Raw genomic sequence first — 25,320 nt, forward strand, 5'->3', positions numbered from 1 at the left:
TTTGTACCTGCACTCCAACCCCTGAGTGACAAGCAGCCCCTGGATAAGCTAGGCCACATGAAGCGTTTGCCTTCTCTTTCTTAAGCTGGGCTTTGTCGATGATCTTTCCCTTTCTTCACTCCACCTGCCCTGAACACGTACTTCTCTGTAGACTTTTCTTTCCTGATGACTCCATCCCCAGGTACAAGGAAAACTCCCATCTCTCCCATCTTGGCTATAGTTAATCTTCACACAGGGAATTGTGTCACTACAAAACTATCCCCAAAACTTGGTGGCGTAAAACAACAATTATCATCAGCCAGTTTCAGTAAGTCAGGAATCTGGGTGAGCCTTAGCTGGGTACTGTGGCTCTGCATCCCTCATAGTGGACAGTGCTTTCTAATAACTCGCATGGTTGTTGGACTGAGGTCTCTGTTCCTCACCACCTGTTGACCAGGAGCCTCCCTTTGTTCCTTAACTCACAACATGACAGCTTGCTTTACCAGAGCAAGCAAGCAGGAGGGCAATAGAGAATACTGGAAAGAGAGAGAGCACTTCCCAGTCTTTAATGACCTAATCACAGTAGTGGCACATCACCTGCTCATTAGAAGAAAGGTGCTAGTCTAGCCCACACTCCAGGGCAGGGGGTGACATACTATGCAGTTGGGATTACTGGAGACTGTCTAAGTAGTCTGTCTACCATAGCCTGTAGGATACCTTAGGGTAGGTATCCCTAAGGATAGGCCCAGGTGAGGAAGCTGTGGGCTGTGGGGGAGGCTGCTTGTCCTCTCTCAACCTTGTTTCCCTGCCTCTCATGGTGTGGGCATCTTGATGCCATGACAGTGATTCCAGGGTTTAAAGAGAGGTATATTTTAAATAATCTGGCTCTTAAATATCATTTGAAAGTCAACTCCCTCGTCTGATCTTCAGCTGAAGAAAAAATGGTCTATTTTAGTGCTAGAAGAAGAACTCTGTGTTGGACTTACTAAGAAAAGGTGATATAGCTCACTGAGATAGTGCATTCTTAAGAGATTTGCAGATTTAATTTTTCTGGGTTTATATCCTGAATTTACCTTCTAACGTGGAGTATGATGAGAGTCTTCTGGATTTTCAAACTTGGCCTCTATTAAACTGCTGCACTTTGTATACTTGCTTTTCTTTGAGCGGGGAGATACCTGACAGCCTAGTTCATGCCTAATTCACTTCTAATATCAGGATTTTGGCTCTCAATATTCTTAAAAATATGTACTAATATTTTTCTGTGTTCTTAGAATATTCACTACTAAATTCGCTAGGCATTGCTAGGGTTTTAATAGCTGAGAATTTTACAGGTCTTTCTCTGGCATATATACTTAAAAGGAGTGACCTGGGGCTGTGATACCTGTAACTTTTGTGTTATTTTTCTAGGTAGTTAAGGCATTAACAGTTTTTGCCCTTGAATCAAAGTTCTCTACTTTTCTCTCCACAGCTTCTAAATATTTTGTCCTTTTGAGTCAAGGGAATTGCCCTGATTTTATGATGACATTTGGGTACGATATTTAAACTGTTAAAAGTTATAAAAACGACCCTTTGGTATTAAATGTAATAAGTGGCTTTGAATTGAATACATGCACAGGTTCTCCTAAATGAACTTTGTGAGTCCAAACTGCTCTAGTTACGTATTCTCATTGTAACTGGATTCTATGACATTCTTTCATCCTCCAAGAGTGTTCCAGGCCATGAAAACTCCTCATGGCTTGGTGTCGATGTATTCTTTGGGTCTTTTGGCGTATTGGCTTTCATCTCTCAACTCCTGTGTGGCACTTGTAGTACTGATGGTCATCTCCAGTCCTGAAGAGGCAGGGTGTCTCTGCAGCAAAACAAAACTAGTTATCCCTAGGAGATCTATAACAGCCCTCAAGTAAAGGGGGCATGGGCAACTTCTAGAACTGACCTATCTTTGCTCAGCCTTTCCTTATCAAGAATATGTTCTTCTTTTTTTTTTTTTTTTTTTATTTCCTGAGATGGAGTCTCACCCTGTCACCCAGGCTGGAGTGCAGTGGCATGATCTTGGCTCACTGTAACCTCTGCCTCCTGGGTTCAAGCGATTCTCCGGCCTCAGCCTCCCGAGTAGCTGGGATTACAGGCGCATGCCACCATGCCACCATGCCCAGCTAATTTTTTGTATTTTTAGTAGAGACAGAGTTTCACCATGTTGGCCAGGTTGGTCTTGAACTCCTGACCTCAAGTGATCCACCCGCCTCCGCCTCTCAAAGTGCTGGGATTACAGGCATAAGCCACTACGCCTGGCAAGAATATATTCTTTACTCATGGTTACTCTGCACAGTGTTCATTTTTACTGGCTTGGATTTCTTTGTAATTCTAAAATATTGTCATGTTCAAAGGTTTTAAATTAGACTATAAACACCTCAATATCAGAACTTATTCTCTTTCTTTCTTTCTTCCTTTCTTTTTCTTTCTTTCCTTTCTTTGCTATCTCTCCCCATTGTATATCTACCATAATACCACTCCAGATGCATTTCTCAACAGAAGTCAACACACAGAAGGAAGTCTAGTCTAGATTTATTCATGATGCATGCATTAGAGTAGATCAGAGATGAGGGGCTGCGACAGGTCTGGACTGTTGTGAGAGATGAACGAGAGTTCTAGAAGGCTTTGCAACAACATTCAGTTAACTCTTCATGGGTAGAGTTGGGTGCTAGTCTCTCCTTTGACCTTCTAAGTGCACCAGAGTATGTTACTGCCATGAAATTGCACTGTAATATTTTCTAGTTGTGATTCATTCACAGCTTAATATGCTTCTAGTTCTGGCTTGACTTTTCCCCCAGGAAGAGCCTAAAATCTCTTCATTATAATATAGACAGTGTACTGCACTTTGAATACAAATTTATCCATGTTCAGAGTAATTTTTCTTGTGATTGTCTCTACCCTGGAGAAGTGCCTTTAATGAATTACATACAAATTGTGTAATTTAAGAAGTTAATTTGGTTTTCTGGTTACACAGGACTAAAAACAGCCCTTGTAGAAAGAGATGATTTCTCATCAGGGACCAGCAGCAGAAGCACTAAATTGATCCATGGTGGTGTGAGATATCTGCAGAAGGCCATCATGAAGTTGGATATTGAGCAGGTAATTGTGTATGCTGGTTGTTAAACAAAAATTGCAACTGTGCTTTTTTCTACCCAATTAAATCAGGTTTTTTTTTCTTTAATGGCTTAAAAGCATTTCTTCCTGTTGGAAATACCTATTTAGTGTATTCTGCTGGAATATCTTTCAGGAGAGGTGTGTCAGTTCTTTCCTGTAGTATTATGTTTATGGGTAATCAGGGGCTTTTTCTTCACAAGCATGTTGAAGTAGCAGATTTACAAAATCACTTTTGAATGTGTTGCCTTTTAACAATTGTGTTTGGGTTTTTGCCAATGGCTACCAAATTGCTACTTTGCAAGCACTTTCAGGGGAGCTATGTTGTAATGCAGGGGGAGTGCGAAATTGATCCTCTTAACTACAACTGCAGTCATAGGCTCATATTGTCACTGACATATTCTGAAGGAAAAGATGATCTGAGTCATGCTTTTCTTATGTCACACTTTATTGTGTCCAGCCTGCCACCATTTGAAAACTGCCAAGGCAGTGTGGAAGATGACATTTCCCAGAGGGGTAAAAAAAATCAGCTGAACTTCCTATCTCTTTTTGTACATGAAAAACACAGTGGCACTGGCTTGACATTGTCAAGTTTTGAATCTGTCTCTTTTTTTTTCTTGACAAGTCAGTTTTGAATCTGTCCCCTTATATTTCTCTTCAGCATCATGATGGAGGCAAAGAAAACAGCATAGGATTTAGAATCAGCTAACTTGTGATGTGTTCAGGCTTATTTACTCAAAATCTATGAGTCTGTTATCTTATTTGTAAAATTAGTGTTATAATAGCAATGCTGGCTTTTTAGAGAGGCGTAATGAGGACTACAGCAGTTAAGACAAAAGCCTTTTTATAATCTGTAAAATACTGTGCAACTGTTAAGAAGCATCATTGCTTGGTTTCATGAAGGCAAGATGGAAACTTTTAGCATGAATTTGAACAATCTGTTATCTCCTACACAGAAAAAATATTATGGGGAACTGAGAAAGGGAGACAATCCAGAGGATGCAAGATAAATGGCTACAATAATCTTGTAACTCAAGTCAGGAAAATATCTTACACCTGGGAACTCTGACAGCATGTTTTTCTCCTATGCAAATACAGTTAAGGTTTCTAAAAAATCTTTGAGGTTGACAGCATGATGTATTATTAGAAATTTGATTAGGAGGGAGCTATCCTCACTCAGAGATAGAAGGTTTCTGTGTATCAATCAGTTGGCAGGGTGTCTATTTGCCATTTGAAAATATTATGATCTGTTACTGCCAAACTAATTTTCTCTGTTTTGCCTTTCAGTATAGGATGGTAAAAGAAGCCCTTCATGAGCGTGCCAACCTGCTAGAAATTGCTCCCCATTTATCAGCTCCATTGCCTATAATGCTTCCAGTTTACAAGTAAGCCTTTTGATATCACCTGTATGCATTTGCTTCTCTGCGGTCAATAGAACAACAGTTTTAATGGAAATAATCCCTCAATGCATATTTCATAATGTGGTTTTAATTGGTCCTAATCTTTAATCCTTTTGAAGTATTTTCCTTTGTTGTATTTAAAAGTATGGCTTTTCTTAAATTACTCTCTACTGGCCTATCTCTAGATTTTAAAGGCAAAGGAGGTCGTATTCTGTATTTGTAATTAGTAGTTTCTTACTCCAGTTTCTGAGAGTATATAGATGAGCAACTGCATTTGCATTAAGGAACATAAGAGGATCATGTGCAGACTGTAAATGGTTGAGCTAAAGTATCCTGTTATAAAATGTAAACATACCACATACCACTTGAAACCCAAGGCATTTTGAGTCATGTTACGTGTCTGAGTTAACCAAGGCTGAAATTTGGTTAGGAAGTGTCAGATTATAAATTATAAAACTTAATTTTCCTAATGTTTTTAGAGCTATCCATGAAGTTGCCTTACATTGGAATTCAGGTAGTATGAACAAGTAGATTATGTAACTCTTTTAGCCACATTAGTGTTGTAGGGGGCTGGAAACAGATTTTTTATAATTTTGTTCATCCTTCATCATAGATCGCTTAGGACTTCCTGAACCAGTGATTCTTAATCCTGGGTGTACATTGTCATCATCCAGGCCCCCACCCTAGTCTAGTTAAATCAGTTTCTGGATGTATGAGGCTTAGGCATCAGTATTTTTAATGTTCCCCAGAGAATTCTAATATTCAGCCAGTTTGAGAACAGCTGCCTCAGAGAAGATTCATTTAAAATCTCATTGATTTATTTTACTTATAGACTTCAGCTAGGTTGGTGTCAAAAACAGTTGCATAAGTCTGTTTCTTTTGCAGTCCACTTCTAGGTATGCTTTGTTTTTCTTAAATGAAAGTGTCTTGTAGTGTAAGGTAATATTCTATAATGCTATACTCTGTTTCTGAAGAACTTTCCCCCCTATTTATGCTGTAGGTGGTGGCAGTTACCTTACTACTGGGTAGGAATCAAGCTGTATGATTTGGTTGCAGGAAGCAATTGCCTAAAAAGCAGTTATGTCCTCAGCAAATCAAGAGCCCTTGAACATTTCCCAATGCTCCAGAAGGACAAACTGGTAGGAGCAATTGTCTACTATGACGGTATGTGATGTTTTTTTTTTTTTTCCTCACAAGATACTTTTCTCTCACTCATGACCCGTATAGTGTATTCTTAAGGAGATAGTTTTGCATCTTTAAATACTAATCTTACACAACACACAAACACACGTGCACGCACATATTCACCATTTTCTCTAACGGTGGCTGAAAAACTAACCATACCATTTTACCTTTAATACTGTTTATTTTACATATTTGTTTTCTTCTTTGATTTCTACTTTGTGTCTCATGGTTGGTTTGGTCCATTTCTCATTATTATGAATTTGGTCCCCACCCTCATGCCATGTAATTTGTTATGTGTTTGCTAGTGAATATTTGCCTTATGAATATATTATAATGTTGAAAGCAGCTGAGGATATGTTAGGTTTTCTAGATGAAACCTCCATTTTCAAGGGGTTATAAACCTAGGGGGAAAAATGCCCTGTGGGCTGAAATTGACATGTTTGTATTTTGCACAGGACACAATTCTTGAATGTATAATTTATATGACGAAGGTAGATGAACATTGCATCTGTTAAACTGCTCTGAGTTTTTATTGCTTATTTTATTGTTGTTAGATGTTTTCTAATAGTGACATTACATAGTGGCCATTTGCCATGTGTTCAATGTTCATTCTTTTTTTTTTTTTTTGCATGTATGCAATATAGTTTTGTACACTTTTATTTGAAGGAACACTTAATGTATCTCCAGATGGTCCACAAAACAACATAAAACAAAACAGGCAAAGCCATTTGTAAAATTTTACTAGTAGTTTTAAAGAGTGTGTGAGATTGGAATATAGTCCAAGGGTGTCCATTTATAAGGAAATAGCTGAACACAGATAATTATACATGTTCAAAAAGTCCTAAAAATTTTGTGATGCAGAGGACAGCTTAGATTTTATACCTCAGTGAGCCCCCCACCCCCGTTGTATTATCTTTTCTATCTAGTATTAGATATCTAAACTCTTAGCAAGAAGAATTTGTTGTTGTTTTATTTTTTTCAGGATACTTTGATATTTATACTGAATACTATGGGATGTCCCAAAGGCTATCCCTGTGTTTTTTTCTTCTTTCCAGTGTTACATTTCTGAACCAATTCAGCTGTCAGGCTTTCATATATAAATGCAAAAAGTATATGTACAGAGAGGGAAAAGGGGACCAAACTCAAGAAAATGTCCTAGGATCAACAATATTAGAAAAATGTTAAGGGTCTTAGGTAAACATTAAAAGCTAGAAAATTCACAGTTTACAGTGCTTCCGAGCATCTGAACACCACAGGGGGGCCACTTAACTATTTTTTTGGTGCCCTTGATTGAGTCTACATGTTAAAGGACAACCTTAACTGTGAATTTGCTTTCTCTGCATTGGACCCTTAATGTTAATCCATTGTAGTTTATTGGGTGATTATAGTAAAGAGGTTTTTGGTCCAGGAGGAGTATGAAGGCATTCTGTAAATAGCGTCCTGCCCATCCTGACATGGAAATGTTTGTGGCCTTTCCCTCTTATTACTAATCCCTCCTGCACAAACCCTCTCACATACTTACTCATTTTCTATACTTTGTGATCTATTAGGCACTAACCAATTTTATTTGTAAGCTTGTCAATATCTGAATCTTTTAAAAATAAGTATTAGTGGGCTGGGTATGTTGGTTCACACCTGTAATCCTAGCACTTTAAGAGGCCAAGGCAGCCAGATCACTTGACCCCAGTTCAAGACCAACATGGCGAATCCTCATCTCTACTAAAAATACAAGAAATTAGCCAGGTGCGGTGGCATGCACTTGTAGTCCCAGCTACTTGGGGGGCTGAGGTGGCTGCAGTGAGCTGAGATCCCGCCATTACACTCCAGCCTGGGCAACAGCATGAGACCCTATTTCAAAAAAAAAAAAAGAAGAAGAAGAAAAGAAATATTAGCAAATGTCATATCTGAATTTGTGACATCCTGTTTTACATTGGTTTGGTATTGTTGTGAATTATAGATTCTTATTTGGAATTGTTGTGAATTATAGATTCTTATTGATTCTACATGGAGAAGCCAAGGGAAACCTTTGTTACACAAGGCAGAAGAAAGATTATTCTCTTAGAATCATGAGGAAAAAGAATTCTTTAATCTAGAATTGATCTTTATAGCCTGTTATAGGTTGCAAAATTATGAGCTTAGCAAAAATTCCTGAAAAATTTAAAAAGTATTTAAAATATTTTCAAATTGCTCTTTGGAAATTACTTGTAAAATCTTAAGTCTTGAGGCAAAGGAGTAAAAATAAGTATATTCTACTCATTTGATATAAATAATTTGTCTTTTGACCTTGTTCTGAAATGGTACAGGCCCAACTATATCATACTTGAGGTGAGGCAAAACAAGCATGTGCAACAGTGTAGTTTTGTGGTTTTACAACTATATTTACATGTGGGGCAACTCTTGTTTTACATAATATGGTGTGATGATCAAATTGAATATCGACATGGAAACAAGGTGACGAGGAGCATGTAGGTAAAAGAATTAAATGAGTAAATCCATGCTCAACAAAAGGAATGAACGCCTTTTTTCCCTTTGACTGGAAAAATGTTATTACAGTATCATCCTGCTACTAAAGTATTTCAGAGAGGAAAATATTTCAATGTGAACTTTTATCATTGCAAACCCAAGTCTAAACATGGTAGTTTATAAGATAAGCTTTTCTTAACAAGGAAAATACATACTCTTCATAAATCACCATGATGAGAATATAACAATAGTCACTGAAGTGATTTCAAGTTGCATTCAGGCTTCTTGAAATAATGTTGAATTTACTTTAAAAATAACATATTGAGGTGAAATTCAATAAAATTCAATTAAAATTAGCCATTTTAAAGTGAACAGAAATAATTTTTATAACTCCCACCAAGGGAGAATTTTGAATCTGATGAGAAAGTGGCGTAAGTAATCAAATGAACTTTTAATTTTAATTAATTAAGTTTTTTGAGACAGAGTCTTGCCCTGTCACCCAGGCTGGAATGCAGTAGCATGATCATAGCTTCCCACAGCCTCTAATCTCCGGGGCTCAAGCAATCCTCCTGCCTCAGTCTCCCAAGTAGCTGGGATTACACTTAGCATGTGCCACTATACCTGGCTAGTTGTTTTTTACTTTTGCTAGAGACAAGGTCTCCCTGTATTGCCTAGGCTAGTCTTGAACTCCTGAGCTCAAGGGATTCTCCCTCCCTGGACTTCCAAAGTGTTGGAATTATAGGCGTGAGCCACTGTGACCAGATAATCAAATGAACATTTAATGCTGCAAGAAGTTTTGCTAACTAAAAATTCTTATTAGTAATATCTTATACACTTACTTCAGCAACCATGAAAAGTGAAATATAATGATGTGAAAATATAGTGGGACAAACTAATAAATGTTGCCATTAATATGGACCAGGCACTGAGAAGATCTGTAAGGTATCTTCAACGCAGAGATGTTAGGGCTGTAAGAGGTTTCCTCTGAAGTACAAAATGTACAAAGATAAAAATTTTAATTTCTCATAAACACAGTTCATCCTAATTAAATTCTGGATGGCTATTGCATATGATGAAGGCAAAGTTTGTTCTCCCACAGAAGTTCATAGAGGTAATAAAGAAGTTCCATGCACTCTTCCCTCCAACATTTTATATATTTTTTTTAATTTTTATTTTTTGTAGAGACAGGCTGGTCTTGAACTCCTGGCCTCAAGTGATCCTCCCGCCTTGGCCTCCCAAAGTGTTGGGATTACAGGCATGAGCCACTTCATCTGGCCCTTCATACTTTTTGATGTAGTAATTATAGTTACTGTTCTGTGCATGACATAAGTATGATCTGTACCATATTTTATTGTTAACCACTGAAAAACAAATTCACATAAATGGAGGAATAACTGTCATATTTTTAAATGCAGACAGAGAGAATCTCAAATTTCTCAGTGAAATCCATATGAAATGAAAATTGGGATAGTAAATGACATACCAGTTTTTCCTCCAGTTGTATTTCCTTCTTATATTCTGTTAGAGTAATCATATAGTCAACTCACTGGTTTTCTGACTGAGACATGTCCTAGCATTTTCTAACTTGCCTAGAAGAGACCCACAGCTGGCCATTACTGCTGATAAGGGAGTTATCAAGTAGAGAGTATGGTGACCAGGCCAACTTTCTCAAGTCAGAAGAAAGTGTTTAGGGCATGGCATGCCTGGGTGACTTGACAGGCTGTGAGATTATGTGAACCAGCTGTTAGGGGTAGCCAGTTTTCTCAGGAACTTATTTTTTTTTTCCTCTATTTGTTCCCAGAGTGGATCTTTGTGGCTATTCTAGTTAGACTCCAGTCATCCAATCTAGTACACAGAAAATGAGCTATAATTAAAAATCATTAAATATTAAAAACCATTCAATACCTCCATTAAGCCATTATAAAATGAAACTGAAGAACAAAATTACAGCTTTAAATTCTTCCTTTCTGAGAGTCAAGACATTGACAGAGATGTCTGTTGTTTCATACCCGACGATGCTTCTAAGTATTCCTTATGCACATATGAAAATAGCAACTATAAGAAATTACATTGCCTTTTCCTAATGTAAATAAAAGTTGGTTACATCCATATTTCAAAGGGGGAATTAAAGCCCAGGTTTCACTAGAATATTCATTTTTATTCCAACCTAAAATTCACAGCATACAAATAGATGAATTCAGCTCGTGAGAGAGCAAAGCCAATTTAATCTCTGGCTCCCCTGAGGTAAATGTAGTTCACGGTCCTGCCCCCACCCCAACCTCAGCTATAATCCCTGGCTCCTGGAGGTAAAAATGCACTGAAGTGAGGAAAATTCTGCAGCAGGATATAATGATCCAAAATGACAGGGACAATAATGACAATGAATTTCATGTCTCCCAGTCACGAGCTGGAGGTGCTTGACTAGGCTGACTTATACAATTAAATTGTTACAGGTACAGCAGGAGATGCAGTTAGCTGTATGCTTTGGGGAACGATGCCTCTGGCAAAAGGCATATTGTGGAATCCAGGCTCTTTTGTTAGGAGCAAGCTATTACTCCTCTAGGCATGCACCTGCAATTGTACACTTTAATAAAAGAAAGCCCGGGTTAAAGACAAGTATTTTAAGGTGTTGATTTTATCTACTTGGAAAGCTAAAAAAATCAATTACCAGTATCACAAAAGTGATTTTTTTGGTCTTTTTGTTGTTTGTTTTTTCATTGAGTTCCTGGAACATAAGTAAAATCTTAAGATGGTGCCTTTAATCCTCATTTACACTATTTGTAAACAGAGTTGTTGAATGAATTGGGTGTTACCTACTTTAAATCAGACAGATATTAATTTCTTCAAAATAATAGAAATAGATTGAACAGATAACTGAACAATGTGGATTTACAAACAGAATATTAATAGCAAGTCCTTTAAGCAAGTTTGGGCTACTTGCTTCTTAATGCAATTCTTGTGAATTGGAGTGGTAATCTCCATAATCTCCAAAGTGAAAGATGTGAGCCTCATGAGGTGCACACACCCATCCACTAGGGTATAGGAGGAACACATTAGAACTTCTACTTCGATATGTTTTTAAAGTTTAATTCCTTATAAATTTGAAATGGTTCAAATGTCTATAATATATAAAAACAGTAATATGTACATTATGTAATTTATAAATAAATATACACATATTGGAGATACATACTGATATTTACTTTTGGAATAGTCAGTTTAATTTTTTTGGGGGGGGGCCACTAGTAATTTGTCATTATTTTATTTCTTTGATAATTGGCTATTTAAATATTTTCAAGATAGATGTGTTTAGTGAGAGGACAGATTGCTTTGGAAGAGTAAACATAACCAAATCCCTTTCTTCATCTCCCAATGTTTAATTTCTATGAAATTTAATTGAGGTGGCTGAAAACATAAAAACAAAGAACTATTGAATAAGAGGAGGTATTGGCATGATACATTAAAATTGTGTATTTAAAGAAAATTTTCATCTTAACATAATGCATTTATTTTAAAATGTAAAGTCCTATTTGCCAACAATTTCCAGGGCTCCTACCCTTTTTGTATCCTTATTATTGTGCAACCAAGGTTTAAAATTATGTAAATATTGATACACATAAAAGAATACGTGTAACACGTATGTAAGTTGTAAAGTTAGTCATTAAGATTGTGGGATCTGCAACTGTCCTTAAAACCTAGTGAGATAGGAGAGTTGCCTGGACCCTTCGTGGGACTTGCGACAGGGGTGTGGCTCGATTACCTGGCCGGGTGCTCAAACCCCTTGTGGGTGGGGGAGCACCCAGGCAAACAGGTGCCTGGGCCAGGGTGAGTGCCTTTGGGCTCCAGCCCCATGGCAGCATCTAGGGGTGTGTTATGATTAATGCTCTTTTGGCAGTTGCCATCCAAGATGGCTAAGTATTAAGCAGCTCAGTGGAGAGTCAGGGTGACAGCCTTTTACACCTTGCCTTCTTGGTACCCAGGTTCTTGCCCAGCATCTGGGAAGAATCAGGTCATACAGACTTGGAGGATGGTGAATGCAGAGGTTTTATTGAGTGGTGGAGGTGGCCCTCAGTGGGATGGGGAGCTGGAAAGGGGATGGAGTGGGAAGATAACCTCCCTGTCTCCAACCGTCCAGCTGCCTCTTCTTTTCTCTCATTCTCTGCTATGCCACTCCACTCCTCTGCCGGTGGAATTTGGGGTTTTTATAGGTACAGGATGGGGGTGTTGTGGGTCAGGGTGGTTTTTGAAAAAACAACATTCGGGTGGGAAAACAGGGATATGAAGTTCTCATTTAGGGCCATGGGCCCAGGCTTGTGGATGGGGCCATTGCCGGGGAACTACCCTCTGCTACCCAGTATTTCCCTGCCTCCTGTCCAATATCACTAGGATATTACCAAGACATTGAAGCCAACTGTGACTATTCACCATTTCATTTCCTTGTCTTCCCTAGAAATAACTGCTATGCTGAATTGTATTATTAGGGTTCCTGGTCTTTCTAATAATCTTATTATATGTACATGTATTTCTAAAGTAATGTATTGTTCAGTTTTATTTATTTATTTTTAAAATTATTTTTATTGTTATTTATTTATTTATTTATTTATTTATTTATTTATTTATTTTGAGATGGAGTCTCACTCTGTCGCTCAAGCAGGGTCCAGTGGCACGATCTTGGCTTATTGCAACCTCCACCTCCCGGGCTCAAGCCATTATCCCACCTCGGTCTCCTGAGCAGCTGGGATTACAGGCACGTGCCACCATGCCCAGCTAATTTTTTTGTATTTCAGTAGAGATGGGGTTTCACCATGTTGCCCAGGGTGGTTTCGAACACCTGAGCTCTGGCAGTCCGCCTGCCTCAGCCTCTCAAAGTGCTGGGATTGCAGGCGTGAGCCACCATGCCCGGCTGTTCAGTTTTATTTTTAAACTTTGTAAAAGTATTATGTGATGGTTACATAAGGTGATATAAATTTTGTAGAGCAGTTGGACATGCCTAGAAAAGTTGGGGGTACATTGTGATCTAGTAATTTTATTAGTAGGTATATGCCTTAGGGGAACTGTTGCATGTGTCTACCAGGGTATATGTACAAAAAGTTCATAGAAGCACTGGGTATAATTTCAAAAAGGGAAGTAATGCAAATATCCATCAAGAGGAAAATGAATATTTAATATATGGTCTGTTCACATAATGGAGTAAAACACAGCATTGAAAGTGCATGAACTGTAAACTGAACAACACAGATGAATCTTAGAAAAATAATGTTGAAAATGGCATGATAAATTGTTTTGGAATTGTAAGCATTGCAATCATACTAGAAAGCTACTTTCCAAAGTATTGTAGGGTCTTTAAATCAATCAGCAATATGGAAGGAGATGACTTAGGTTTACAAACTTAACTGCACTTTGAGCTCTGCATTACACATCTATAAATTTAGGCTTATGACACCTAATTCACAGGCTGTTTTGATATTTAAATGAACTACTATAATAAATGCAAAATAATTTATAAGTACAAAACATTACTCCCGTATTATTTTTGGGGGGTCAATTTCATGGATACTCTATAGTCCACCAAATTTCTACTTTTTGTGAAAATATTCCAAAGTGAAGCATCAGTTCCACAAGCATCCCCTTGTATGTTTAAAATTTGAAGATTCTTCTAGAAAAACTTGCCAAACATTCTTAGGATAAAAGGAAAAAATATTGCACATATGAACATGCCTCAGGTAAGTATAATCTTTGAAGTTTAAGAATTAAAAACCATAACATTTTAATAGAACTTCCTCTAAACATTCCTTCCTCTTAGACATTGATTTAAAACATATTTGCTTTTAATATTTCTCCTTGTTCATATGCAATTTTACACTTCTAAACTAAATGAATAGTTTTAATCTTGATTTCCTACTGTCAGCTTTCCTGTTGTATTTCTCCTCTTGTTTTCTATGAGTTACATAAATGAAACTGACATCATTGCTCATACAGCAGGCATATTTTTTTTTGCCCCCAAATGCTGCCTTTTTGCTATTCAGTGTATCTGGATACCAGCTAATGCTAAATGAAGTTTGACATGTACCCCTAAGAAACAAAACTTATAAATTGTGGCTTCAAAGGAAACCTTGAATAAATAGGACACACTGTGTCCACCCAGGCTAACATCCAGCATATGTTTTAGCTTCCTGATGATGAGATAGAGCAAAATAGCCCCCAGGAAACTTTGCAATTGTTTATTGCTCACTTGCCCAGCATGTATTAAATACCAGGCTTTCATTCTCTTATAATTTGCTTTTTTTAAAATTAAAATCCACCAAAGTAGATTTGATCAGGTATAGCAAGCCGAGATAGTAGTCATCCATATTTGTACTCTGTATATAAAAGCTTAAAGACAGTGCTAAAAATTCTCCAGTAGTAGGATGTATGTAAGTTGTTTGAACAGATAGTTCTAGTGGGTTCATAGTAAGCTATTTACCTCTCCCATTCTGTGGTTCAGTTGACCCATTTAAAAAAGATTCAGGATCAAAGGCAGAAGCTATTGTATCAAAAATCTTTGTCCACTCTTCTCTTGATTTACTCATTCATCCAAAAAATATTTATGGAACCTCTACTATTTGCCAGGCATTGTACATATATGCCATATATTTTGCCAAATACATGGTCCCTACCACCACCAATGTTTTACATTTGTGTAGCAGAGTGTGGTTTTTTAAGCTTTTTTTTTTTTTTTGCAGAAATTATCTTTGAACTAACTTTGTATGTATGCTGGGATAGGATATTATGATCTCTATTTTACAGGAAGGAAGAGGAATCATAGCTAAAAATCTACATTGATAGTTTAGATACATGGGGATGTGAAGATAATTTTATTTTTTAGCTAAAAAGAGGACTTTACAAAATGAAGATTATAGCATCATGGCTTCTTTCAGCTATGATTGATTTTTTTTTTTCTTTTTAAAGACTTTACTTTTTTAGAGAAATTTTAGGTTCACAACAAAATTGAGAGAAAGGTACAGAGACTTCCTCTTTCCCCCCTGCTCCCATACATGTTTAGACTCTCCCACTATCAACATCCCTCACTGCAGTGAAGCATTCGTTTCAGTCAATGAACCTACATGGACACATCATTATCACCCAGAGTCCATAGTCTACATGAAGTTTCACTCTTGGTGTACATTCTGTCGGCTCTGATAAATATATAATGATATGTATCCACCACTGCCATATCATACTGAATAGTTTCGCTGGCCTAAAAATCCTCTGTGCTCTGCCTAGTCATCCTTCCCCCTCCCCTAACCCCTGGCAACCAATGATCTTTTCACTGTCTCCAGAGTTGTGCCTTTCCCAGAATGACATGTAGTTGGAATCCTACAGTATGTCAGCTACCATTGATTTTTAAGTTCGTTATACACTTTTAAAAAGTAGCCAAATAGTTCAACAAAGGCTATCCAATTTTATTATGGAAAACTCAAATATATGCAAAATTAATGAGAATAATAAAATTAACTTTCAATTTTAGCACTTATAAACTCATGACCAAACACTTATAAACTCATGGCCAGTCTATACTCTCATTTCCCCTTTCCCCCACTCCCCACTATAACAAATGTTTTATCCATGGATATTTAGTCTGTATCTTTAAAGTTAAGAACTCTCTTTCAAACACAGCCACACCTAAATTGTTCAACAATAATTTCTTTTCTAGATAGATAGATAGATAGATAGATAGATAGATAGATAGATAGATAGATATTTTATGGAGATGGGGTCTTGCTCTGTTGCCCAGGCTGGTCTTGAACTCCTGGGCTCAAGTGATCCTCCCACCTTGGCCTCCCGAAGTGCTGGGATTCCAGGCATAAGCCACTATACCCAGCCAACAATAATTTCTTAATATCAAATATCTGGTTATGTTCACATGTCCCTTATAATCTCATAACTTTATTAGGCTCCTGATTTTAAAAACCAACTCATAAAAAATAGACAAAATCTTACATATAAGTTGATTCATTCTTTTTATTGTTGTTATTATATTTTAGATTCAGGGGCACATGTACAGGTTTGTTACATGGATATATTATTGCTTAATGGTGACGTTGGGGCTTCTAGTGAACCCATCACCCAAATAGTGAACATTATACTCAATAGGTAGCTTTTTAACTCTCACCCTCTTCCCACCCACCCCCACCTTTTGGAGCCCCCAGTGTGGATTCATTCTTTTTTAACTGATAGGTTTCCAGTCCCTTTTTTTGTTTCCTGATGGTTTTATGTAACAGTTTCCCTTTGATGTAAATTGGTAGACTTGTCTCATTAATCTGTTGCTGCATAAGAAGCAACACCTAAGCTCAGTGGCTTAAAACAATGATTGGTTATTTCTCATAGTTCTGAGGATGGATGGGCTCAGCTGGGTGGTTGTCACTTGGGGTCCTTCTATATAGTTATAGTGAGATGGCAGCTGGGGCTGAAGTCTTCTAAAGGCTTCTTTACTTTCCTGTTTGGTGCCTGGACTTGGAAGGCTGGGGTGGCCACAACTTGGTCTGGCACCTCTTTCACCATGGCTTCTCTGTATGGCTAGCTTGGACTTTTTCACAGGGTACAGACTTCTTATGTGGTGGCTGGCTTACCCCATGAGCCCACCAGGAGACCAAAGCAGAAACAGAGGGCTTCTTTTGACCTAGTCTTAGAAGTCACACAGTGTCACTTTCACCACATTCTGTTAATTAAAGTAAATCACAAAAGCAGCCAAACTTAAAAGAGAGGGGATTACAAAAGTAAGAAAAGCAGAAGGCGTAGTTTACTGAGGAGAGGTGGGACATATTTGGTGACTAGCAACAAAAAGGCTAGATCAAATTGTTTTGTCAAAAATACTTTATGGGTGATGTAAATTTCCATCACAAGTCTGTTTACCTCTTTTTAATTTTTTTAAATTAGTAATTATAATTATTGCCTAGATAATTACAGCATTTCATTAGAGGTTAAGGGGTTATAAAATGTTACTTTTATAATTCTATTTTTCCTTCTTTATGGGTTAGTTGGATTACTTATAATTTCCCTGTATCAACTATCTGCCTACCTTAAGGTATATTGTATATAGGAAAGTCTGGATAAATGCTTGATTCTTTTCATTTATTTGTACTCAAAAATAATGAGTTAGCTTTTTTAGTATCCTCCAAATGTAATGAGATCTTTTTCTGAGGGGAAGCTTGTCAACATAAACTCATGAATTTGAAGTATTTGATAGATACATGTCAATCCATCAGAATTATTGATGTTCATATTGCCCATCTCTGGCCCTGGGGCACTTCCTGCAGTTGGCCCCTGAGCCCTTTTGATACCCTGTCAGTGGTCTATGATGATTTCTGTGCTGTTTGCTATGACAAGATACTCCGGTTTCATCTTGAAACTTTCCTTCCCTAGTTTTGGAAGCAGCCATTTCTTCAGTAACACTTGACTCCCTCATGTGGAAAATGGTAACTAGGGACCATAATCTATTTGCTATGAAGGTTCATTGCTACTGGTTGGTCATTATTTCTAGGCCTTTCAATAGAAAAAATTAGGAAAAAAATTATGTGAAGAAGAAAAACATGTTGAGTTTTTAGATACAGTTCCACTTCAAATTTAGTATTACATGGTTTTTATTTAACGTTATCAATCAGACTTCCAAAACAGTTTAATTTTATTTTTCAGTTTCGTTGTTGAATGGGGACATACGGACAAATTACTGTCTTTTAAAGTGACTTAACATATTTATTTCCTATAAGTGTGGTTATGTCACCACTTAATACAACAGATAATTTCATTTTGCTTTAGATGATTAGGAATTTATTTTTTTAAACTGTGCTTCTGTTTTATAAATTATGTAAATAAAGTGTTTTAAAGTAAAAAATGTAAACAAAGACAATTCAAACAAGGCTAGCTTCTTTCCTTGTTCTGCCCTATTCCCTCCTTCTTTAAAATTAACTTAAAAAATTTTTTTAGGATTTTGGTATGTTCTTTTAACGTATGTATGCATATGTGTTTATTATATGTACACTTGTTTTTGCTCTGCCTACCATTTTGTAGGTGGTAGTAGTGCCATGCTTTTTTCACCTAATAGAGTAGATACTGCTTTCCATAAGTATAAGAGGCCACAAAATTTTAAAAGGTGAATTTAAAAGCAGGGACCAACTTTTATGGAATTACATTTCATAGCCATGTTAACTGCTTAGATCAAAATATACCTGCTCATACAGCCTTAGCCATCAATAAACCACACTTTCAAATTATTTTTCTTTTTATAAGTGAAAATAAAATCTTATTTCCTTTCTTTGGATACCACAAAACAATGACACATCCACTAGTCTGATCTGTGTAGAGAGCTTAAAATTAATCAGAGAGTCTCAAATGCTGTTATTATCATTATGTAAAATATGCTGTGATTTGTTCAAATTTGCTAAAATCTGGTTCATAACATTTGCTTGCATTGAATGCTAATATGCTTAGTCAGACTAAGTGCTTCTGTCAATTATAGTCTTTTAAATAGATGAGTCTGTCTTATACTAATATGTGAAATTATACTTCTTGGTAAAATTTGTGTTGATATGCTTTATATTAATGGTGCATTTTTTAAAATTTAGAGATAAAGCTAATTAATTGTAGTTTAAGATATAAAAATTTGAGGGACTTTCTGCTTTTGTTTCAAAGACATTCGGAGAACACATGCCCAAGAAATGTAAGCCATGCTTAAAAATACTGCATTTTGAAGCTTGCAGTAACTATCTAATGAATTCGTCTCAGAGTGATTCTCCTTCAGAAAAACAAAATTTTATAGGTCACATTTGGAAACAAGGAGAGGAGGAAATAACTGACATTGCAATATGGGGAAATAAATGGGAAATAAAAGGCCATAATGATTGGTCTTCAGGAAGCTGTAAGGATTGTTCTTCAGGAACTAATTTTTCTTGCTACTTTATTGTGTGGACAATATAATGCCTCACGTATCTGTTGGCATAGTCCCTAGTTTCTCTCTGCTGTACCCATTCTTCACATATTTTCTAGCATTCTTTCAAGAGGATCAGGAGTCTTTGCCCAGATACCTGTTTGGGAAAAGGAAGAAAGAGAGTAAAAAATTAATAATTAAATCAATTTTGGAGTTATTCTGCAGATGACACACAGCAGCTTTCTTAGTGTAATGGAAAGCCAGCCTGGTATTAAGCATCTAACCTCACAAAGAATGGCAGTAATAAAAATATCTCTTCAATTAAAAAGCCCCACACTTTAGTTTCAACTACCAAGCCTTGGAAATGTAATAAAAAAAAAACTGTGAAAAAAAGTCTTCGGTACATAGTTTTTATAAATATAACTAACACCTTGGTGTAGATTATATTCTCTGGAGCCAAATAGATTACTATTTTAGAATGTGAAGTTTCAAACTAGTTTCATTATTACTATTAATACTTACTCATATCACACTTACATTAGTAAAACCCTCTGTAGATCATTATATCCACTCAAGCATGAACCACACAACACCTATTTTTTTTAACTCATCTTTGCACATTAAAAAACATACAGGCACACGCAACTAACCTCCCACACAAGTTAAATAACTATTGCTCCTTTTCTGTTCAAAACCAAATATATACTCTTGCATTCACTGGAAAGTGTTACTAGTATATGATTTGCTATCTATTCAGAAGAATAGATATTTGAGAATAAAATAAAAAAGTATATAATAATGAAAGCAACTACCAAATTAAAAGCAATATCAAATAATTTGTACTTGATATTTTTATGTCAAAGATGATTAACATGTAACTGATTTACCTGGGATAGACCAGGTAAATCAGTACACCAGAAACTTCATATTTCCCAGGAATTTTAAATTTTCTTAGTTTTTAACCCGAGAAATCCTACAAAGAATGGATTTGGTGATTTGTGTTTTATTTTCCTTAAGAAGGTTGAAGTCTGAAAAAGGTAACTGAGAAGCAGCTCACAGGCAGTTCTCTCTTTTAATAATTCCCCGTGTGCAAAGCATTGTACTTCAATAGTTACCTCAGAACCATTTTAGTGAAAAAGAAGGTAAAAATACATTATCATTAAAAAACTAATCTGAATATAGTCAGGATTTACAAATTGGATAAACTGACTACTCTCATTCTAATAAAAGAATAAAATAAACCCAATTTATTATTTTCAATAGTTGCCTCTTCCAACAGCATTTAAATTAATAGATAATAGTCCACGCTAATTGTAAGAAACATGTCTATTGTATAAAACCGGATTGAAACATGTCTATTATATAAAGCCAGATTGATATGTGTATTTTTGCCTTTTTCCTCTGTCTTCTACTTGTATATTTCTTTTTCTCATCACAGATTTTGGTAAAATTGGTATTTTCATTATCCTTAAGTATGAGCAAAGAGAGATAAACATATTTCTCCACTCAATTATGTCAATTTTTTTCTTTTTTTCTTTTATTTATTTATTTATTTATTTTTATTATTATTATACTTTAAGTTTTAGGGTACATGTGCACAATGTGCAGGTTAGTTACATATGTATACATGTGCCATGCTAGTGCGCTGCACCCACTAACTTGTCATCTAGCATTAGGTATATCTCCCAATGCTATCCCTCCCCCCTCCCCCCACCCCACAACAGGCCCCAGAGTGTGATGTTCCCCTTCCTGTGTCCATGTGTTCTCATTGTTCAATTCCCACCTATGAGTGAGAATATGTGGTGTTCGGTTTTTTGTTCTTGCGATAGTTTACTGAGAATGATGATTTCCAATTTCATCCATGTCCCTACAAAGGACGTGATCTCATCATTTTTTATGGCTGCATAGTACTCCATGGTGTATATGTGCCACATTTTCTTAATCCAGTCTATCATTGTTGGACATTTGGGTTGGTTCCAAGTCTTTGCTATCGTGAATAATGCCGCAGTAAACATAGTGTGCATGTGTCTTTATAGCAGCATGATTTATAGTCCTTTGGGTATATACCCAGTAATGGGATGGCTGGGACAAATGGTATTTCTAGTTCTAGATCCCTGAGGAATCGCCACACTGACTTCCACAATGGTTGAACTAGTTTACAGTCCCACCAACAGTGTAAAAGTGTTCCTATTTCTCCACATGCTCTCCAGCACCTGTTGTTTCCTGACTTTTTAATGATTGCCATTCTAACTGGTGTGAGATGGTATCTCATTGTGGTTTTGATTTGCATTTCTCTGATGGCCAGTGATGGTGAGCATTTTTTCATATGTTTTTTGGCTGCATAAATGTCTTCTTTTGAGAAGTGTCTGTTCATTTCCTTCGCCCACTTTTTGATGGGGTTGTTTGTTTTTTTCTTGTAAATTTGTTTGAGTTCATTGTAGATTCTGGATATTAGCCCTTTGTCAGATGAGTAGGTTGCGAAAATTTTCTCCCATTTTGTAGGTTGCCTGTTCACTCTGATGGTAGTTTCTTTTGCTGTGCAGAAGCTCTTTAGTTTAATTAGATCCCATTTGTCAATTTTGTCTTTTGTTGCCATTGCTTTTGGTGTTTTAGACATGAAGTCCTTGCCCATGCCTATGTCCTGAATGGTAATGCCTAGGTTTTCTTCTAGGGTTTTTATGGTTTTAATTCTAACGTTTAAGTCTTTAATCCATCTTGAATTGATTTTTGTATAAGCTGTAAGGAAGGGATCCAGTTTCAGCTTTCTACATATGGCTAGCCAGTTTTCCCAGCACCATTTATTAAATAGGGAATCCTTTCCCCATTGCTTGTTTTTCTCAGGTTTGTCAAAGATCAGATAGTTGTAGATATGTGGCGTTATTTCTGAGGGCTCTGTTCTGTTCCATTGATCTATATCTCTGTTTTCGTACCAGTACCATGCTGTTTTGGTTACTGTAGCCTTGTAGTATAGTTTGAAGTCAGGTAGCGTGATGCCTCCAGCTTTGTTCTTTTGGCTTAGGATTGCCTTGGCGATGTGGGCTCTTTTTTGGTTCCATATGAACTTTAAAGTACTATTTTCCAATTCTGTGAAGAAAGTGATTGGTAGCTTGATGGGGATGGCATTGAATCTGTAAATTACCTTGGGCAGTATGGCCATTTTCACTATATTGATTCTTCCTACCCATGAGCATGGAATGTTCTTCCATTTGTTTGTATCCTCTTTTATTTCCTTGAGCAGTGGTTTGTAGTTCTCCTTGAAGAGGTCCTTCACATCCCTTGTAAGTTGGATTCCTAGGTATTTTATTCTCTTTGAAGCAATTGTGAATGGGAGTTCACTCATGATTTGGCTCTCTGTTTGTCTGTTGTTGGTGTATAAGAATGCTTGTGATTTTTGTACATTGATTTTGTATCCTGAGACTTTGCTTATCAGCTTAAGGAGATTTTGGGCTGAGACAATGGGGTTTTCTGGATATACGATCATGTCATCTGCAAACAGGGACAATTTGACTTCCTCTTTTCCTAACTGAATACCCTTTATTTCTTTCTCCTGTCTAATTGCCCTGGCCAGAACTTCCAACACTATGTTGAATAGGAGTGGTGAGAGAGGGCATCCCTGTCTTGTGCCAGTTTTCAAAGGGAATGCTTCCAGTTTTTGCCCATTCAGTATGATATTGGCTGTGGGTTTGTCATGGATAGCTCTTATTATTTTGAAATACGTTCCATCAATACCTAATTTATTGAGAGTTTTTAGCATGAAGCGTTGTTGAATTTTGTCAAAGGCCTTTTCTGCATCTATTGAGATAATCATGTGGTTTTTGTCTTTAGTTCTGTTTATATGCTGGATTACATTTATTGATTTGTGTATATTGAACCAGCCTTGCATCCCAGGGATGAAGCCCACTTGATCATGGTGGATAAGCTTTTCGATGTGCTGCTGGATTCGGTTTTTTAAAGTAGCAAACAATGCTGTTTGTTTATTTTTTATGTTTTTAGAGACAGTGCCTCACTTTGTTTCCTGGGCTGGACTTGAACTCCTGGGCTCAAGTGATTCTCCCACCTCAGTCTCCCAAGTAGCTGGGAGTGTGGGCATGCACCACGGTGCTTTGTTTAAGACTCTATTTTCAAAAAACCAAGCATAAACATTATTAACACAAACATAATGAAATACATATACAATTTAGAGTAATATTTAAAGTGATGTAAATATCTAGATGCGATTAAACACTTCACTCACTGAAGTTTAATTATTTTAATTTGCTACATTTGCTGTTTAATGTTACTTTGGTCTTCTCTTCTCCCCATCCCATCCCAAATATGCATAGTTTTAATTCACCCCTGCCCCCTTTAAATATATATGTATTTAAAATCCACAGATTGGTGTTAGTGTTGGGAAGGGGGATTTCTGCTGAAACTCCACATGTGCTCCTTACTGCTGGTTGATGCTTTTGATGTTCTCATCCCCTGAGGTCAGGAGAACACAGACAGGAGAGTAAGTGGCAACTGTAGCAACCCCAGGCTTTGTGACACTTCTCTCCAGAAGATGCAAGGGTATTTTCTGCACATCAGCACTGGCCCTGACAGTAGAGAGTTTCTTTTCATTTACTTTAAAATGGTTCTGACAAAAACCGGGGTCTCTCATTTGCAAAACCAGCTGTCTGTAGCAAAGCCGGACCTTATCTTAAGAGCCAGGCTGAGGCCACAGATGTCGTGTGGCACCTGCATGTGGAGGCCACGAGTGGCCCATTAACCAGATCTGGGCTGAGGCCACTGAGTCTGCACCATGGAGCTCACTCCTGGAGGCCAGCTGCAATATTCCCACCTGGCCAGGAAGGACACTGCCCTTCTCAGTCCCAGAATGGTAATCTGAGGGCCCTCCACAACACAATGGGGCCTTCAGCCTAGGCATGGACCACTGTGGTGCTTTCCCTCTCTCCATAGGACAAATGGAGGGCCACAGGTTCCAGCAATGCCTGGAGCCCACTTGGTCCTTTAATATCCCATCTTGTCACTTCTCAGGCCCCTGCCTACTCCACCAAAAGGGCTGGGGAGGCAGTCCAAAGATAGGGGTTATAGATTTATGTTAATAAATATATAATATATATTAATATGTAATTTTATTTTTATTTTTACTTTTTTAAGTGACAAAGTCTCGTTCAGTTGTTAGGCTGGAGTACAGTGGAGTGATCACAACTCACTGCAGTCTTGACCTCTGGAGTTTAAGCAAATCTCCTCAGCCTCCGACTAGCTAAGACTATCGTTGTGCACCAACACATCTGGCTAGTTTTTATTTTTAAAAAACTCTTTGCAGAGACAAGGCCTTGCTTTGTTGCCCAGGCTGGTGATGAACACCTGGCTTCAAGTTGTCCTCTCACCTTGGCCTCCCAAAGTGCTGGGATTACAGATGTGAGCCACTGCATCCAGCCCCCAGATTTTAATTTAGTTTTATTTTCTACCTTTTTGTGATTATGTGTCTCAGTTTAACAAGCCTTTAGTTACATCTAGGTATAATCAAGGGCCTTCTGTGTGCCCAGTGGTTATCTATGATTGGACTTTTTCTCTTCTCCCCATGTGCTCCCCCACCATTAAATTTTAAGGAGGTACTTTTTCCTTGTTACCTGCACTTTTTGAACAATAGGTTTCAGACAACTTACCCTTGTAAATTCCCTTTGAATTATGGCATTTTAACCATTTTTCACAAATATTGAACTTGAAATTTTAGAGCCATCAGGAGGGGCTGATCCTAGCAGCTCTTTTATTGAAATTATTCTATTGGTGGCAATAGGAGTTACTGGAGGGCACTGCCACCCAGAAACTGGATGAAACCAAGTCAGAAATTCTGAGTATAACTGACAAATGCTTTATAGGAATTTAGAAGGACATTGGGTAGTAGAGGGCTTGGGAAAAAGTAAATTCCCTAATTTCCTCCTCTGTGACCCACATTTGATATAGAAATCATGATTTGTCTAGTATTGGACAGAATCACAAATAAGGATTAGTTGCCATAAAAGTTTTTCTAATTTATATTGTGAAAGAGCTGTAGTGCTGCATCAGAAAGGAGTCTCTGTTTGCTAGAAGAGCTATGTCAGCAGGTGAGGCCTAAAGCCTAAAGGCCTGAGGGGTGGTCAGGGATGGGAGAGAATGAAGTTACTCCAGACTTTCAAATTGTTCCTCACCCTTCACAAGACGGGAAGTTTCCTAAGGCTGAAGGAAGCAGCAGTCACTGAGTGCAGAATGTTTCTCTTGGTGCAG

General features: G+C 37.3%; 1 protein-coding gene across 9 annotated transcripts in view; it reads left to right on the top strand.

Moving 5' to 3' along the window:
* Nucleotides 1–25,320, top strand: part of GPD2 (glycerol-3-phosphate dehydrogenase 2) — a 186,123-nt gene that overhangs the window by 107,532 nt on the left and 53,271 nt on the right. For all 9 annotated transcript variants that reach the window (XM_047443963.1, XM_011510977.3, NM_001083112.3 and 6 more), the window contains exons 4-6: nucleotides 2,984–3,108; nucleotides 4,408–4,505; nucleotides 5,521–5,684. In XM_047443963.1, the coding sequence (XP_047299919.1) occupies nucleotides 2,984–3,108; nucleotides 4,408–4,505; nucleotides 5,521–5,684 (387 nt within the window). The remainder of the gene's footprint in view (nucleotides 1–2,983; nucleotides 3,109–4,407; nucleotides 4,506–5,520; nucleotides 5,685–25,320) is intronic.

This window comes from Homo sapiens, chromosome 2 (genome assembly GCF_000001405.40).
Source record: "Homo sapiens chromosome 2, GRCh38.p14 Primary Assembly".
Lineage (NCBI taxonomy): Eukaryota > Metazoa > Chordata > Mammalia > Primates > Hominidae > Homo > Homo sapiens.